General features: G+C 35.2%; 1 protein-coding gene across 23 annotated transcripts in view, besides 1 other annotated feature; it reads right to left on the minus strand.

Moving 5' to 3' along the window:
• Window positions 1–19,546, minus strand: part of TBC1D32 (TBC1 domain family member 32) — a 255,236-nt gene that overhangs the window by 217,433 nt on the left and 18,257 nt on the right. For 21 of the 23 annotated variants that reach the window (NR_104452.2, XR_942346.3, NM_001367759.1 and 18 more), the window contains 7 exons: window positions 13,853–13,921; window positions 11,050–11,175; window positions 7,829–7,907; window positions 7,596–7,699; window positions 7,439–7,500; window positions 6,691–6,835; window positions 2,520–2,579 (listed from right to left, as the gene is read on the minus strand). Coding sequence is in view for 21 of the 23 variants with exons in the window: in NM_001367759.1 (NP_001354688.1) it covers window positions 2,520–2,579; window positions 6,691–6,835; window positions 7,439–7,500; window positions 7,596–7,699; window positions 7,829–7,907; window positions 11,050–11,175; window positions 13,853–13,921 (645 nt within the window). In the remaining 2 variants the exon portion in view is untranslated. The remainder of the gene's footprint in view (window positions 1–2,519; window positions 2,580–6,690; window positions 6,836–7,438; window positions 7,501–7,595; window positions 7,700–7,828; window positions 7,908–11,049; window positions 11,176–13,852; window positions 13,922–19,546) is intronic. The other 2 variants (XM_047418311.1, XM_047418310.1) reach the window with 1 other exon arrangement.
• Window positions 14,847–15,016: an enhancer, noted in NCBI's record as "experimental_89176 CRE fragment used in MPRA reporter constructs". NCBI's record gives its function as "activates a minimal promoter by MPRAs in K562 erythroleukemia cells, with activity observed for both the introgressed and non-introgressed 6:121633004 variant alleles {active_cell/tissue: K562}" and the evidence as "EXISTENCE:reporter gene assay evidence [ECO:0000049][PMID:34662402]".

A 19,546-nucleotide genomic window follows, 5' to 3' on the forward strand; every position in this document is an offset into this window, starting at 1 on the left:
GACTCTTTCGTTCATTTGAACCTTTAGAAATCCACCCTCCTTGCATCCATTACTACCCAGCTTTATCTTCACCATCCACTTACTTACACTCCCTTCTTTTCCTTATACTCTTTCCCTTATATTTTCTTAAACATGCTATCTTTATTTGAGAAAAGGTAGCAATCACAGGAAAGAAAAGGAATAATCTCAGGACATGAACAATCACATTACATGACATCCCTTTAAACCACAGTAGCAGAAAGCAGATCTATAGTAGGTGAATTTAAAGAGTCAAGTTGAGAGTATAATGAATGATTTTTCTAACCCCTGTGAAAATAGACAGAAATTTGCTATAAAACTCAGGATTGTATTTGATACTTATTGCCCTATACTATCAAATATATACCAGCCAGTTCATTTAATTGTTAACCCCTAAGACAGAAATTTTAAAAAAGGTTAAATACAATAAGACACGAAAAACCAAGGGAGAATTTAAATAACCAAGCCGTCAAGTCATTTTTAAAATGACTTTCAGAGAGCAGTAAAAATGGCACTACATAAAACCATTTCAGAAACCATTCCTTTAGGGGTTGACTGAATCAAGATTCAAACTGTTAAAAATTAAAGGTTAAATATTTAGGCCGACAGCCAAAACTTTTAACCAGTTCATGTCTTTCAGATTCTATGGGAACAAAGACTATCTTAACTTTTTCAGGGATATCTATAAAAAACCAACAGCATATACAAAAATTGATAGCTTAATGCTACCTACTAAAAATGTCATAAACATAAGATAGAATAGAACCACACAAATACAGTAGCCACCAACCACATGCCTATTTAAATTTAAATTAATAAAAACTAAATAAAATTAAAAATACAGTTTCTCATTTACTCTAGTCTCATTTCAAGTTTTCAGCAGTCATATGTGGCTTGTGGTTACCATATTGTACAACACAGATATTTCATCATTGCAGAAAACGACATCAGAGAGCACTGATGAGAAGCTAGAGGAAATACATCAGCAGGTCATCATGCTAAACAGGCTGCTATGAGTAAAGTTCTTATACAAGAATCTCTTTTAGAACAGAAACACAAATGGATGGAGTGGTCTGCAATTTCCATCACAGATGCACAAAATTTGACCCTTGATTCTGAAAATACAATGGGAATAAACAGATCTTGCATCATTTTCCCCAATGTTTATTTTCAAAAGTGGGGCCAAGTTTACTTTTAAAAAATAAATATAAAATGAATAATATTTTGATATTTTGTAAATGTAGGAAAGCTTTTTAGTGCAAATGAGGTTTAAGTTGAAATGTCAAACAAGTTTGACATACTATATACATAAAATATTTGACTAAGTTGATAAAAATATTAAGATGATTTATAATGACATAATTCCATTTGCAGGTTAAAAGTCAAGGTATAGTTAACTTTTCAAATAAGAAACCAATTTTAAGAATTAATCTATAAAAAACCTTATTTGAAATACTTTCACTGGGGCCTCTGTGATAGCAACAGTGAGTCATTATCTGTACATAAACCATGGGGAAAATCATCCTGTTCTTTATTTTTCCTTTCTCTATTCTAGCAAGATCAGTCTATGCTCATAAAGCAACAACAAATTTTTATTTAAAATGGGAATGAGAGAAAAATCAAATGTGGAAAAACCTATTTAAATTCAATTTCTTTAAAAATTTTGAAGTATATTTTACCTTTACAAATAAATTCTTATCCTATTATTCAATATCCCTCTCTTCTTCTGCTGCTCAATTCTCTGGATTCTCAAACACACAACAATTATTGTTCTCCTTCCTTCATTTTATGCTCTACTGCACTCAACCAAAAATCACAATTCCGGAATCTTTTCTTCACCTGACTTCCAAACTCAAGGTTCTGCCTAACTACATAAAAGATGTTTATTGACCCAAAGCTATATCAGTATAACATTTGAATGTCTTAATAAATTTTGTGTTTTTCATTTTGTCAATTATTTATTAGACTTGCTGATTTCTTTTTAATTATTTTCAGTACCCTTACATTGTTCTACTAATAGTAACAAATGTAGATGATTTTGGTAACATATTTTAGAGTATTAAGTCTACATTTGGTATAACTCAAACCAATTATTGAAAATGCAAAAGTATTTATCATTTTGAGTTTTTCCATGTAATTTTCACTGAAAAACATGGGTCTATATTATAAAAGTAATGGCTTTATGAATACTTGATGTGAATCGAACTACATGCTACTGCTTAAAAATATGGCTTCTCTCAAACTAGCTTGTTATATATAGAAGCCAATTTACTATATATATAAAACATATTTTCTAATTGTTATCCTGACTGCATTCATTTTAAGTCTCTATTTTTATCCCTTTATGTGTCACAGGATGGTAGTTTAAGATCACATAAAAGGCGAATTGCTTCATTATCCAATATTAATTATCACCACACAACTTTGCATAGTCAAGTTATTACATCATATATATTCTGGTGATATTATTTCTCAACATAAAAACAGAATTACAGACTTACCAGAGACTTATATTTCGTTTCAAGAAGTCTTAATACTGTAGTTCTGCTATAATGTGCATGCTAAAATTAAAAGGAAATGATATTTAATACTCAAGCTGTGCCACTCAAAATCTATTTTTCCTGCATGATTTCTAATGACAACATCATAAATCACACAATAGCTTAGGTTTAAACCCTTATAGTCAATGACAGACAGGTGTTTATGTGTGCATTGTATTAGGAGCAAAGCAATCACAAGAATGCAAATCGTATCAAAAAACTTGCAGATCATTTAGTGACTGACCAGTAGAAGAACATTCTATCCATCGATTGTGTCCAATTTCCATGCTAAACTATTTTAAAACCACCACCAAAAAAGTATACCTATGACAGAATCCAAAAAAAGATACATAGTGGGGAAAAAAAATTAAAAAGCACAACTCTTATACTGAAGAGGATACTGTACGGTCTACATGTGCAGAAATGTGCCAACACTGAAATGCTCCAAAGTGACAGTACCCTAATCATTTTCTGCCAACCATATTTAAAAATGATTCAAAGTGTCAAAAGAGCTTTAAATCTCTCCTTGGAGCAAAATATAGATGTAATTAAAACATGTAAATGCATAGCATTGTACAAAGCCAGGGAAAACTATAAATATTGTTTAGCTGGATTATATAAGATATCATTAGTGTTCAAAATATAGTTTCTTCATTTCACTTAGGAATAAAAATATTGGCCGGGCACAGTGGCTCACACCTGTAATCCCAGCACTTTGAGAGGATGAGGCGGGCAAATCACGAGGTCAGGAGTTCGAGTATGGTCTCGAAATGGCCAATATGGTGAAACCCCTCTCTACTAAAAATATAAGAATTAGCCAGGAGTGGTGGCATGCATCTGTAGTCCCAGCTACTCAGGAGGCTGAGGCAGAAGAATCGCTTGAACCCAGGAGGCAGATGTTGCAGTGAACCGAGATTGCGCCACTGCACTCCAGCCTGGGTGACAGAGTGAGACTCCATCTCAAAAAAAAGAATAAAGCTTTGACAAACCTAACAAAAACAAGCAATGAGGAAAGGATTTCCTATTTAATAAATGGTGTTGGGAAAACTTAACTCAAGATGGATTAAAGACTTAAACATAAGCTCTAAAACCATAAAAACCCTAGAAGAAAACCTAGGCAATACCATTCAGGACATAGGCATGGGCAAAGACTTCATGACTAAAACACCAAAAGCAATGACAACAAAAGCCAAAATTGACAAATGGGACCTGATTAAACTAAAGAGCTTCTGCACAGCAAAACAAACTATCATCAGAGTGAACAGGCAGCCTATGGAATGGGAGAAAATTTTTGCAATCTATCCATCTGACAAAGGGCTAATATCCAGAATCTACAAAAAACTTAAACAGATTTAGAAGAAAAAAACTAACAACCCCATCAAAAAGTGGGCAAAGGATATGAACAGACACTTCTCAAAAGAAGACATTTATGCAGCCAAAAGACACATGAAAAAATGCTCATCATCACTAGTCACTGGAGAAATGCAAATCAAAACCACAATGAGATACCATCTCACATCAGTTAGAATGGTGATCATTAAAAGGTCAGGAAACAACGGATGCTGGAGAGGATGTGGAGAAATGGGAACACTTTTACACTTTTGGTGGGAGTGTAAATTAGTTCAACCATTGTGGAAGGCAGTGTGGCGATTCCTCAAGGATCTAGAACTAGAAATACCATTTGACCCAGCAATCCCATTACCGGGTATATACCCAAAGGATTATAAATCATTCTACTATAAAGACACATGCACACATATGTTTATTGCAGCACTGTTCACAATAGTATAGACTTGGAACCAACCCAAATGCCCAATGATAGACTGGATAAAGAAAATGTGGCACATAAACACCATGGAATACTACACAGCCATAAAAAAGGATGAGTTCATGTCCTTTGCAGGGACACGGATGATGCTGGAAACCATCATTCTCAGCAAACTTTCAGAAGAACAGAAAACCAAACACAGCGTGTTCTCACTCATAAGTGAGAGTTGAGCAATGAAAACACATGGACACAGGGAGGGGAACATCACACACCAGGGCCTGTTTGGGGGTGGGGTGCTAGGGGATGGATAGCATTAGGAAAAATACCTAATGTAGATGATGGGTTGATGGGTGCAGCAAACCACCATGGCACGTGTATACCTATGCAACAAACCTGCACGTTCTGCACATGTACCCTGGAACTTAAAGTATAGTAAAAAAATTTTTTTGAAAAATAAAAATATTAAACAGAATAATACAAGTCAAAACTTTTTCAGAATTCTAGGGAATAGAGGATTTTTGTATTGTTTTTCTTTTTTTTCCTTTTTTTGCTTTTTAAATAGAGATGAGGTTTTGCTATGTTGGCCAAGCTGGTCTCAAACTCCCAACCTCAAGTGATCTGCCCACCTTGGCCTCCCAAAGTGCTGGGATTACAGGCGTGACCCACCGCACCTGGCCGGGAATACAATTTTTAATTAAACATTCATTAAATTGTGTTTTGGTTAACCAAAGGTTAATCAAAACCTTGGGTTTTAAACCTTGTAGCTTAAAATGTTTTCAAAAACTATTAATCCTTTTTCCAACTTAATAATAAGAGAAGTTGATATAGTATTAAGCTATTTTTAATATTGACCATGTTCTGAAAAGAAATCCTCATAGTATATCTCTTAGACCAGGGTCAACAAACTACAGCCCTCAGATTAAATTCTGCCTAGACCCACTTTTGCAAAAAAAATTCACTGGAACAGTCAAGTCCATTCATTTACCTATTATGTATAGATGCTCTGGAGCTACAACAATTGGGATGAATAGCTACAATAGGGACTGTAGGCCCACAACGCCAAAAATATTTATGGTCTGGCTCTTTACATAAAAAGTGTGACAACTCCTGCCTTAGATGCAAAAATTATAGGAGGATGTAATGAATTTTCATGTATACTAGAACACACTTCAGAATGTGATTTTTAAATAAATTTGTACCCCGTTATCTTAAGAATCAACTCCCAGCAATAAGAATGTCAAATGAAAAAAAGTTAATTACAAAGTTAGTAAAATATGACTGATTTTGTTAAAAAAAAGATGACCTAAACAGATAAATATAAAAGTATATATAACATATCTACATGAAACAAAATCTTAACAGTTGTTATCCCTGTATTGTATAATTAGAAAAATTTAATTTTATTTAAGCTTTTACATATTTTGCATATTTTCTCAAATAATGATATAATTTGATAATCAAGAAAAAAATTTAACTGTTAGATGTAAGGAACAAAGGGTTCATCTTAAATTAATTTAATTTAATTGAGTAAACATGAATCACATACTAGACAGGCCAGGTAAGGGCTAACCACTAGAGACAGAATTGTGTTCTGGTTAATTGGGCATTTATGATACAACTTAGCAGAAGGCACAAAGCACCATTGCTAGATAACATCCAAACTGTGCTGAAGAGTAAATGAATGCCCCAACCCCTCTCTTCTCAAGTGCAAGAAATATAGTACCTAGGTGCCCAGTACAGATTGAGAAAGAAGACAATGTGAGCATAAAAGCCAGTCCTGTTGCTGCTATTGACAAACACAGACCTCTCTTAGTTAACAGAGGTTGAGGGAGGTAACAGTATAAAGATCTCTCTACTCTTACTAGTAGTTTCAGTTTCAGCTTCATAAGAAATTGCCAGGTTCAGGTATTAAACACATTCCCCAAACTTCAGGTTCAGGAGGAAGGCAAATGAAAGAATACTTTCAGAAATATCTCCTAAGCCTGAAAAAAAATACATATTGAATCCTTATGTTCTACCACATTTGCTTAAAATTTTTGAAGCTTTCACATTAAAGAAAAAATAGATTTTTGAATAGGTCATTCAGCTTAGATTCAAATGAAATATCACTTAAAATCCTATTCTGGCTCTGACACTTAATAGGTGAAAAATCTTGGGCAAGTTAACTTCTCCATATCTCAGTTACTGCATCTGAAAAATGGGGGTATTAATACCACCAACCTCGTAAAGTTTTATAAGAAATAAATGAGCTAACACATGTAAAAGTGATTAGAACTCTTAGCACACAGTATTCAAACATTAACTATTTATTAAAATGATATAGCAATGCACTAAAAGGTATAAAAATATTCTATTTTTCCTTACCATCCACTTTTTGAACCACACAGCCTTGGTATCAACTAATGCAAAAAAGTAGATCGGATCCAAAATCTTTTGTGAGACAACATGGCTTTGATTATGTTTAACTGTTAACAAGGACAAAGTACTCTCCACAATTTCTTCCATATACCTTAAAGTTTGGGAAAAAAGAAATACAATTACACATATAGTTCTGGTGGTATACTTTATATTCATGGAATGATAAAGTAGCATATAATCTTCAGAAACATTTTTTCTATTTCAGTAAATGACAGGTAGGATTCATACTCAATGTTTCTGCTTTAACTACAGGTTCTTTCTACTTCAACACTGGATCTGTGAATTTAACTTTCCTTTTCAGACTCACAGATTATCTTACAACTTAGTATAAATTTTAGAGCTGAAAGGAAAAAGTTTAAAGAATATTTAAGGAACTTGTCCAAAATGCAATAGCAAAGACCAATAAGAACCTAACGCAGACCTTCAAATCACTGATACATTAAAAAAAAAAAAAAACTAATGCTACATTTTTTTTACCTTGTGATAAATGATGTAAAGTGGTACCTGTATACAGTAATTCACATAGCTAAGTATAAAACATGACAAGCTGAAGAAAAATAAAAATAAAAATTTTATTAATCCCTTCCCAATCAGGTAAGTCCATTAAGACTGTCTTTACTCTTTCTGTCTGAAACGTATATGGGGCAGTAACACCGCTAGGTTTTATGCTGGCATACATTGGGAGGGGACTTACTTCTCTGGATGACGAATCCAGAAAGATGGAGCTTCTTTCTGATATTCATTTAGAAGACGAACCTACAAAGCAGTGCACAATAGTTCTCAAAAAATTAGCATCCTCAAATATAAAACTAAATAAATAAAAATGAAAGCATATTGTAGTAAATGGATACCTTTTTAAGTAAGCGAGTCATATTAGGATTAGTTATATCTACACCAGCTGAAAGAGTAGGAATATGATTTTCCCTAGAAAGAAAGTATGACTCCAAATACTTAGCTGAAAAAAAAGGGAAAACATAAAATTACATCATTCATTTACAGTGCTTTCTGAAAAAAATTATTTCCTATCCATTCTTAAGTACATGCAAATGACAAAAAACATTTTTAAATGTTTTCACAAACATACCTAAGCTTGTATAAATTTCCTTGGTCATATGTAATGGAGAAAGCAAAAATGTCTGTGCACAGAATTTTAAAATCCGGTCCTACGGAAATGAGACAGAAAATTTGCATCTAAGATCTCACAAGAATAGAATAGAGATGAAACATTTTTCACACAGTAAAAACTCAGAAAATAAAATAAATACAAATAAACCATTCAGAAACTAGAGTCAGAATGTACTTATTTAAAAAGGGCACACTCTGTGTCAGCAAAAATTAAAACTGACCAAAACTAATATGTGAATCTAATAACAGAAAGCTATTACTGCACAATCCGGTCATAGTATATACTGACATGGTGAGGAGGGGGTAAGGTGAGGTTTCATAGAGGAGACAATGTAAAGGTGTCAAACAAAGGAACAGAGTAGGCAGTACTAAATTTTTTTAACACCCCGTATTTCCAAATCGAAAATTCATCATTTTTAATTGCTTACATGGGTAGCTTCAGTAATTAGAGATTTAGAATTATTTCTAATAATTTTGCCTATTCCCAAGAAAATTACTCTATGTTTAAATTTTTACATTATTAAAACTCTAAAATAGAAACCATTAGAAGGTAAATAAGTTAAAAGTGGCAACAGATGTAGTTAGCATAATGCCTGGCACTAAGAGTTACTTTAAAATGGTAGCTATTATTATCCCTTTAATTATACCTACTTTATTAATATCATGATAAGATTAATCCTAATAGTGAAATTCAACTTTCCATTAAATAAAAACATAAAATTGCCTTAAATAGTCTAATCTGGGGGGGGATTAATAACACTGTTGATACCAGTTTAGATAATCCACTTACAAGAAATAGTTCCCCAAGTTACTGAAAATATCTTCTAATGGCCCCAAGAAATTCCTACTGAACAAAGGATATTAAATACTTTGGGAAGTCTATTTTTATAGTTGCAGCAACTGATAGGTATCTGTCATACTTTTCAACCCTATAGGCTTCACTCAGTTGCATGTAAGAGTCCTTTAGAGGAGGAGATGAAGAAATAGAATTGAACTCAAAAAGAATTTGGATCAAGCACAAATTTAAAATGAAAAAAACTCCATGCCTTGTTTTCTACTTCAAAATGACTAATTTTATTACCATCTCTCCTCTATAATAATTGCTTCCAATTTTATTAGCGTAAGTAATAAAACTGAACCTTGCTGCATAATAATTTAAAATGGCTACAATTTGCTATTTTGTAAAGTTATTTCATAATTTATAAAATAAAGGAAACCTATTCTGCTACTATTCTGTATTTATTAAGTAAAAGAAAAAATACGGGGAAATTTACAATTGCATCCGTCGTTAGAGAGCATGAAATGTTAAAGATAACCCTGAGATAATATGTTTTCACCTTGAAGTTCTTGGATCATTGAGCTGTTCCAGAAGTCTACAATACCCTCTGGTGTTAACAAGGTTGAACTGCATCCAAGTATTAGGTAAACACCTTCCCTTTATGAGAATTACAAACAGTGATTCCCAAACCACTTCTGTTTACCAGTATAATCATATCTTTATTAATGGTAGACAGTAGACTGATTTTAAATAGACAAACATATTGCGATACCTTAAATTTTTCTACAACTATTTATTTATCGTCTGTGTTATCTACTGAAATCTAAGTTCTCTGAGGGTGAAGATTTTGTGTCCTGTCCATGGTGTGTTCCCAGTGTCTAAACGAGAATGATACACACTGTAGATACTCAATATATATTTGCTGAACAAAGAGCAAAATGTAACTCTTCTGCTAATGCCTTAAATTCTATGCCAAACATCATATCGATTTTAAAGCCAAAACTATCTTCACTGATATATCAATTAGGAAGAAAAGATCCTCTATAAGGAAATCCAATTTGTGTTTAAAATGCAATTCTTGGATAATCAGGGGTTTTCTTTTCATTCCCATCATAGATACTACCTGTAGAATTACTGCACTTGTTAATGTAAAGCTTACTTTTCATCATATGATAACTGTTCCTAAAAAGTCATATGCAAACCAATTTTTAAATAAAATCATATCTACTGACTTCATAATTTTACAATTTTAGAAACTTTCTATATTTGCTTTATGATTCACCTCAAATTATTTTCTAAAATCTCAACATTAGTTTTCTAGCTTCTTTCTTTAAGCAGTTAAGCAATCTCTAAGTAAACACTTAAATACAAGAGGAAAATGTTTATAAGCCCTTTCGAATAAACCATAATTCATCATTTTTCATTCAAATTTTCATATACCATGAATCCTTTTAAAATATTTTTCTTTTTTTTTAATTTGAGAGTATCATAAAACAGCATCATTCAAAAGCAATGACACAGCCAGGCGTGGTGGCTCAAGCCTGTAATCCCAGCACTTTGGGAGGCTGAGGCTGGAGGATCGCTTGAGCCCAGGAGTTCAAGACCAGCCTGGGCAATGTGGTGAGGCTCCATCTCTACAAAAAATACAAAAATCAGCCAGGCATGGTAGTGCATGCCTATAATACCCAGCTACTTGGGAGACTGAGGTGGGAAGGTCACTTGAGTTTGGGAGGTTGAGGCTGAAGTGAGCTGTGATCATGCCACTACACTCTAGCCTGAGTGACAGAGCAAGACCCTGTCTCAAAAAACAAAATGAAACAAAAATAAAATACTAGGATATTCCTTTACAAGATAAAATGCACAAGGTAGCAGTGTATTATTTGGCAATGAAATATGACCATATTTTGACTCTAATCACAAAATTTTGTTAAGAAAAATTTTGACAATTAGAAAGCTGAAACTGAAGTTCCATAAATGTGTCAGCTACTATTAAAGAAAACTATCGGCCAGACACCGTGGCCCATGCCTGTAATCCCAGCACTTTGGGAGGCCAAGGTGGGCGGATCACCTGAGGTCAGGAGTTCGAGACCAGCCCGGCCAACATGGTCAAACCGCATCTCTGCTAAAAATACAAAAATTAGCCAGGCTTGGTGGTGGCATGCCTATAATCCCAGCTACTCAGGAGGCTGAGGCAGGAGAATCTACTTGAACCTGGGAGGCAGAGGTTAAAGTGAGCCAAGGTAGTACCAGTGCACTCCAGCCTGGGCAAAAAGAGTGAAACTCGGTCTCAAAAAAAACAAAAAAGAAAAGAAAAGAAAACTATCGTAACTATCATATTCTATTTATTTCCAGAATGGTGGGAAAACAAATTATTTTTAATATTTCTATAACCATTTTCTTACACTAAACACAGGATCAGGATCTGAAAGAGACACGGTCAGTTTTTCGCAGAGAGTAGTCCAATTTTCACAGTTGAGGACATCAGATGGAGGAGCTGAACATAATGTTTGCAAGGCTTCATATCTCACCTACAATTTTTTTAAAAGACTTTTATTAACACTCAGTCACTAAAATAATGCCACTTTTCCAAAACAATATTTAACAAACTACTAAAAGGTAAAGTCTGGATAATTTATAAAGAATGATTTATCAGATGCCTTTATATTAAAAAGCTCTTGAGAAATCATTTTTTAAACTAAGTGCTAAGCAGAGAAAAAAAACAGTTGCTGTTTGTGTAAAGCAAAAATTAAAATACTAAATGTGGTAGCAGATTTTAGGTATCATGTCTAAGAGGAATGGGAGGAAGAATGGTAGTTGAATCAGAATCACCAATGCAACATTTTCCAGTAGCCTTGTCCTACAGGCTTTCCCTATTCTAGGCCGTTCCTACAGTTTGAGGGCTTTAATTTCAAAACATTGCCCAGATATGCCCCTGGCAAAGCATTTCCATTCTAGGATATATGAACAATTCTCACAAAACAATCAGTTTGAACTTGTTTTTTCTGCTACACCATATTTTCTGGCCTTCTGACTACTTAGGTAGAAAAAAAAGTAAGTCTTTCAGCAGTGGGATGCAAAATTGTATTTCTGTATTTTCACAGAAAGCTTACTTCTTTTTTTTTTTTTTTTTTTTGAGACGGAGTCTCGCTCTGTCGCCCAGGCCAGACTGCGGACTGCAGTGGCGCAATCTCGGCTCGCTGCAGAAAGCTTACTTCTTAATCAGTCTTCTCAAAATGCAATCAGAATTCACTCAAAACAGTATGACCCAAGGGAAAGTAGTAGAGAATAGTTCCACTCCAATGAAGAATGGAACAAAGCTTTTCTCCCACTCAATATCCAAGTCGTGAATAATAACACACTAATTCCAGCCTCATCCTCAAAACCTGGTCATTTCCCAACTGAAACAACTAAAGCCTAGTCATTAAAAAGGTGAGGCCTAAGAGACAGGAGCCAAAACCTCAGCAAATCAGACACTCTGAACCAGGGCCCAACTTTTAGACAAAATAGACAAAGAATATACATATATTTGAAACTGTCTATATATTCATATGAAAGAACTCCTCAATATAACTTTATTTGTGATAGGCAGCAAGGGAAATATTGAGAGATTTAAGATTAGGAATTCATTTACAATGTTAAGTAATTTTTCCATTTCAGGAAATTTTTAGGAAAAAATGCCATTAAGAATTTACTACTTGCAGAAGCAAAATGTAGGTTTCTAAACAAGTATAGTTTCCAAATCATCCATTTAAATTGAAGGCAACAGGATTTTTATCATATAAAATTTAAAACTCATTTCCGATATTTTTGAAAGATGTTATTATTTACTATGAACCCAGAAAATAAATCATAATGCAAAATGTTGAGAAGAAAAAAATTATTCTTCTCTATGAGTTTTTTAAAAATTTCAGTAGGAGTAAATCACAACTATTCATTTAGTTTAAATTTAATAGTTTGAGAAAAATAATTTTAAAAATTGAGACCAAATGGCAAGATACGCATACCAATACATAAAAAGGCTTAGGTTAAAAAAAAAATCTTCAAAAATCCTATCATATTTTCTATTTCATGCTGACTTTCAAATGAAATAATTCTTCATAAACAGTGATTTGTACAATCTCTTAAAATATAAACAGACACAATTCAATATAATTGCTTCTCTTAAAAATCCTTTTTCTGGCCAGGCACAGTGGCTCACACTTATAATCCCAGCACTTTGGGAGGCCAAGGGAGGTGGATCACTTGAGCACAGTATTTTGAGATCTTCCTAAGTGATGTGACAAAACCCCATCTGTACAAAAAATACAAAATTTCACCAGGTGCAGTGGCGTGCATCTGTAGTCACAGCTACTTAGAAGGCTGAGGTGGGAAAATCACCTGAGCCTGGGGAGGTAGAGGCTGCAGTGATTCATGATTGCGCCACTGTGCTTCAGCCTGGGTGACAGAGTAAGACCCTATCTTAAATATATATATATATAAAATTTTTCTAAAAAATAAACAAATGGGTCAAAATTGCTCAGATAGTTAGGGAAGGCATGGGTAACTGCTGGTCAAAGGATACAAAATTTCAGTTAGGAGAAGTAAATTCAAGAGATCTACTGTATAACATGATGACATGATGACTATGTTAATAACAATGTTTTATTCTTGAAAACTGCTAAGAGAGTAGATTTTAAATGTTCTCACCACAAAAATGATAAGTATGTGAGGCAATGCATGTTAGAACAGCTCAACTTAGCCATTCCTCAGTGTATACATATTTCAAAACATGTTGTACAAGACGAATATACACGATTTTTATTTGATCATTAAAAATAATTATTTTAAAAAGCTGTTCACATTTTCTGAAAGTAAAAAAAGAATTAAAAATCTTTTTCTTAAGAAATGACTAACTACAATGTTACATATAAAATAACAGTGAAAGAACAGTTTGGGGGACAACTGCCTATAACTTTATCCCTTTGAAATTGATGCTGAAGATAAAAATTTCCTCTTCCAAACCACGACAATTCTCTGAGGAAAGCCTCCCTTATTCTGTGACTTTTCATTTGGACTTTAAAGTTTACCAGGGATATCAGTCCAGGATTGCCCATAATCATAAAGGCTTAGCCTCAAGGGAAACAACCTGGTTGCTACTGATTGTAATCTCATATATTGTAAATGTATGTTATCTGCATGAACTTGACAGCTATCCTTGAAACTTACCTCTTTAGGTTGCCCAGGATCCAACTGGTCTAAAATCAATTGTAATTTTCCTTGACAAAATTTGTAACTCTGTAACACAATTGTCAGGACATTCATTTATTTAGAAGGCTTTTAGAACTATTGCTATAAGTTATTTTTTCAATATAATTCCAAGCACAAAACACAATCCAGACAAGAGAAGGAGATGATCTATTTTGATTTGGCAGCAACTTAGAATTTTTCTTCCCAAGGCTTTTAAATGGGAACTGAATGTCCCAGTAGAAAGTGTACCTTCATGTATATGAAAACTATTATTTGCCAAGCAATTAAAGTATATATAACATTATAAGACTCAAAAGACACAAAGCCAAAATGCTGCATACTCAGAAATGTGAGATGAATGAAACAGACATAAACAAAACAAGTAAAAAAAGAGCTACCAATAGTACCCTAGGCACAGCTACAGTGCTGTTTGGACTGTTCTGTTCTCTTTCTTTCCTATACTTTTCCTTAGCCTTTCTCCATAGTTCTTTGGTGAAAAAACTCCTGAAGTAAAAACTTCCATCTATAAAAAAGTTTATAGTAGATTATAAGATATTTTGGAGAAAGAAAGGGTCTTTTTCCTACTAAAGACAATTTAAACATGTATAATATCTAAAACTTCATCTGAAAATAAAAATTATAATAGTAGGCTGGGCGCAGTGGCTCACACCCATAATCCCAGCACTTTGGGAGTCCAAGGCGGGCGGATCACGAGGTCAAGAGATCTAGACCATCCTGGCCAACATGGTGAAACCCTGTCTCTACTAAAAATACAAAAACTACCTGGGCATGGTGGCACGTGCCCGTACTCCCAGCTACTCGGGAGGCCGAGGCAGGAGAATCACTTGAACCAGGAGACGGAGGTTTCAGTGAGCCAAAATCATGCCACTGCACTCCAGCCTGGCAACTGAGTGAGACTCCACCTCAAAAAAAAAAAAAAAAATGTAAGGAAACAACAGATTCTGGCAAGGCTGTGGAGAAATAGGAATGCTTTTACAGTTTTGGTGGGAGTGTAAATTAGTTCAACCATTGTGGAAGACAGCGTGGCTATTCCTCAAGGATCTAGAACCAGAAATACCATTTGACCCAGCAATCCCATGCACACGTATGTTTATTGTGGCACTGTTCACAACAGCAAAGACTTGGAACCAAACCAAATGCCTATCAATGATAGGTTGGATAAAGAAAATGCGGCACACATACACCATGGAATACTACGCAGCCATAAAAAAGGATGAGTTAATGTCCTTTGCAGGGACTTGGATGAAGCTGGAAATCATCATCTGTCTTGGAACAAAAAACCAAACACCGCATCTTCTCACTCATAAGTGGGAGTTGAACAATGAGAACACATGGACACAGAGAGGGGAACATCACACACTGGGGCCTGTCAGGGAATGAGGGGCAAGGGGAGGGAGAGCATTAGGACAAATACCAAATGCATGCAGGGCTTAAAACCTAGATGATGGGTTGATAGGTACAACAAATCACAATGGCACATATATACCTATGTAACTAACCTGCACATTCTGCACATGTATCCCAGAACTTAAAGTAATTTTTTTAAGTGCTACATTAAGAATAAAAAAAGTCTATTAATTCTTTTTTTAAGATGGTGTCTTGCTGCAGCCCAGGCTGGACAGCAGTAGTATAATCATAGTTCAATGTGGCCTCGAACTCCTGGGCTCATGCAATTAGGGAAGCAGGAGCCTAGGAGAGCCACAGTGACCTCATTTTAAAGTCAACTCCAACTTGAGACTAACAAGGCACATTCCTTGCCAGTCACAATCCATGGTCCTAAGATGTTTACAGCTAAGGAACCAGCTTGGTAATTCCTGAAAGGCAAATTCCTACAACAGAAAGTCCAGATGTCTCAGTACACATAGCAATATATGCTATCAAGATAATTATAGTTATGCTTTGATGTACTTACATGCTAAAATGTCAAGGATAGTTTTCTTTAAATCAAGAGAAAAATAAATTGTGCCATGCTGTCAGCCCACTTGCATGTAGACACAGCTTAGTTTAGTCTTTACATAGACAATATAAGAAAAGCTTGTAAAAAAGATAGTGCGTTCCTCCACTTGCTTTCTGAGGACTCCCTACTCTGTAACTGAGTAGCTTTCAATAAACTATCTCCTCTCACTGCACTCTGCAACTTGCCTTGAATTCCTTCCTGCACAAAATCCAAGAACTCCCTCTTGGGTTCTGGGTCAAGACCACTTTTCCCGTAACAAAGCAGTCCTCCTGCCTCAGCTCCCCATCACTGGGAATACAGGCACACAATGCCATGCCAAGCTAAGGTGGTGTGTGTGTGTGTGTGTGTGTGTGTGTGTGTGTGTGTGTGTGTGTGTGTGTGTGTGTGTGTGTAGAGACCTTGTCTCTATGTTGCCCAGACTGGTCTCAAGCAATCCTCCTGCCTTGCTCTCCCAAAGTGCTGGGATTACAGGGATGAACTACCATGCCTGGCCTTAATTTTTTTTTTTTTTTTTTTGAGACGGCATCTCACTCTGTCGCCCAGGTTGGAGTGTTGGAGTGCAGTGGTGCAATCTTGGCTCACTGCAACCTCCACCACCCGAGTTCAAGTGATTCTTCTGCCTCAGCCTCCCGAGTAGCTGAAACTACAGGCACGCGCCACTATACCTGGCTGATTTTTGTACTTTTACCAAACAAACAAGCCAGCAAGCAAAAATAAGTTCACATCTGCCCCTACACATTCCTCTTCCAAATAATCCACCTGTCCCAGGCCTAACTCTAGGCAGCTGCAGAATCAATGCTACTATGTTCATCTTTTAAAAATCCTAGCTATCTTTCCCTTTCACTTCTACAGAAGTGAAATTCTGCAGAGATTTTTAAGATTTTATGACTCCATCTTTTTGTGCTTACAAAACAAATAATAATTAAAATCTTATCAAGTGAGGGTAGCCAGACATGGAGGAACTTCTGAAGTACAGGCTGGGATGTAGCTAATCCTACTGCTCTGAGTGATGTTGCCAAAAAAAGAGATAAGTGTCTTGCCATTTCTCAGCAGTAGTATAAAATCCTTACAAGCAGAATTCTTCACCAAAAAGAGCATTGTAGAGCTTTGAAGATTTTAGTAGAGGCCAGAAAACAGTTGTTGAACTCAAGAAATTCTGATTAAGATTTGAAGACTAATAGCATAAAATAAATTAGGAAAATTGAAAGGACATACTCTGAATGAGAGGAGAAAGGCCATGTACCCAATAAGGAAAAAAACCTACTCAAGAAAAATCTTACTGGAAGAATCCAAAGCCTAGCAACAAAATAGAGCTCAGGTTGTTCCCAGGAAAGACAGAATCTGTTTCTTTGCCTTTTCCAGCTTCTAGAGGCTGCCCTCATTCCTTGGCTCATGGCCTACTTCCATCTTCAAAAACAGCAATCACATCACTACAACCTCTATGTCAGCCTTCACAGCACCTTCTCTGACACTGACTCTCCTGGGTTTCTCTTACACAGACCCTTGTGATGAGATGGGTCCCGCCTGGATAACTCGAGATCATCCTGCAATCTGAAGGTCCTGAACTTAATCACATCAGCAAAGTCCCTTTTGTCATGTCATGTGACATGTTCACAAGTTCTAGGGATTAGGACATGGACATCTTTGAGAGGACCATTATTCTGTGTACCACAGGTACCAAAGGATGAGTTTCAAGGAGAAGTTGCTTGGAAAACAAAGGAACAGTGACTGCTTTAAACATGTTTGTGTCAGGCAAGAGTAATAGGTGACTATTATCCTAAACTCACCTGCATAAGGTATACACCCTGGGGTGAAGTTCCCTTGGAAGGTTATAAAATAGCTTGCACGCTATAAAACAGCACAATGCCCGTGCTGTACTATACTAATTACTGCGGAGGAAGAGAAAGACAGAAAAACTGCAAGAGGAAAGGATACAAATTCTGAAAGCTTAATGTATATCAGAGGTAATCCTCTAATTTCCCAAGCAGTTAAAAATGGCCCAGAGATGTTCAGTTTGAAATTATATAGGACCACAGCTGAGAAATTTTCTATTTGAGTGTGTCTCTGAATGGTGTCCATTTCAGCATTCCCTTTAAGAGATATCAACAATAAAAGCTAACCTGTATAAAGCAGTGTCTGTGTGCCAGGCACTGTTCTAAGCACAAGACATACATTAACTCAGTTAATCTTCTCAACATCCCTATACGGGAAGTAGTATTTTCATCCCCATTTACAAATGGGAAACACTACAGCACAAAGAAGTTAAGAAATTTGTCCAAGGCCACATCGCTGGTAAGCGGTGGAACCATAACTTACACCCAAGCTCTCTCCAGGTAGCTGGGAAAAGAATAAAAATAACTCGCTTTGCAGGGAGAGAGGCTAGTTTTAAACTCAAAGTCCCCCTCTCACTAGCTATTCAAGTTTGGGTAAATTACTTAACTATTATTAAAAGGCTCACTTTTTTCTGTAGAATGGACTAATAATACCTATAGTGAATATAAAGCTAAGTACAGGGACCAGTATATGGCAGGTATTATTATTATAGCTGGTATTATTATTTCTATCTTTCTGGCATTATTTTGCAGAGACTTGTTCCAGGTTTAATCACAATACCAAATATTTTCATAGCAATGCTCACAACTATGGTAATAACTACTTATCTCCCCTTTGTTCTTCAATATCCTCATACTTACACTAACAGTCTCCTGTTTTTCAATAATGGGTCAAAAGTCCAAATACAATCAGGCTGCAATTTTTTAAGTAATAACAATGAATTAAAGCCCATTCTATTCACAAAATGAAAGTGTTTCACTAATATCAAAACAGTAACATCAGCATTGTTTACAATGTTATTCATAGGAAAATTCAGACCTTTTTTTTCACCCCACAGCAAGAAACAACAATTTTGAAGGCATGAATAAGATTGTCAATATTTATTGGAATGAATAATATATTTTTAGAGATCTTTTCAATTCTGAACATATTCAGCCTCTCTTTGGTCAGCTATATGAAAGAGAGTCTCTTTTCACTATAAGCAAAAGTATACACAATATCTCCTAGAACTTGGACATACTGAAACAGCTTTCAGGACAGTTCTGGCACTCATATGTTTCTTCCCAAAAGTCCAGGGATACCATGCCTTCTTGATGGGCAGAGCTCACTTTCAACCCAATTAGTGCCTTCTAAAGCAAAGTCATATTTACAGGGTAGACACTTGAAAATTTATATATACCCTGCGGACATCCCAAAGAAATCCAGGGAAACTTAAAGCATGATTCCTCCTCAAGAACTGAAACAAAACAAGATAAAAAACAAGAACATCTTCTAAAATTATGACCCCATTTCTACCAAAGCTTTGCATTTTTCAAAAATCTATCATTTTAATGACTGGAAATAATTCAGCATTTGGAATTCGACAAGGTCTTAACTGCCAGCTATGAAATCAGTTCTATTTAGATCTGAATACCTGTACTTCTTAGAACAAATGCTCCATTATTTTTCTTATGTTCCCATTTCAATGTATTCAGGTGGTTCAGCAAATAAGTAAGAGCATATAATCTTGTGAGCCCCCAGAGTCATAAAATTGGGTTTTCTGTGCCTTTTAAGTCCAGAAAGTCCTTGATTTGAAGAAGCAACTCAATAAACTTACTAAACAAGCCATCTGACTGTATTAAACTAAAATCTCTATACCCCAC

Source organism: Homo sapiens, chromosome 6 (assembly GCF_000001405.40).
Source record: "Homo sapiens chromosome 6, GRCh38.p14 Primary Assembly".
Lineage (NCBI taxonomy): Eukaryota > Metazoa > Chordata > Mammalia > Primates > Hominidae > Homo > Homo sapiens.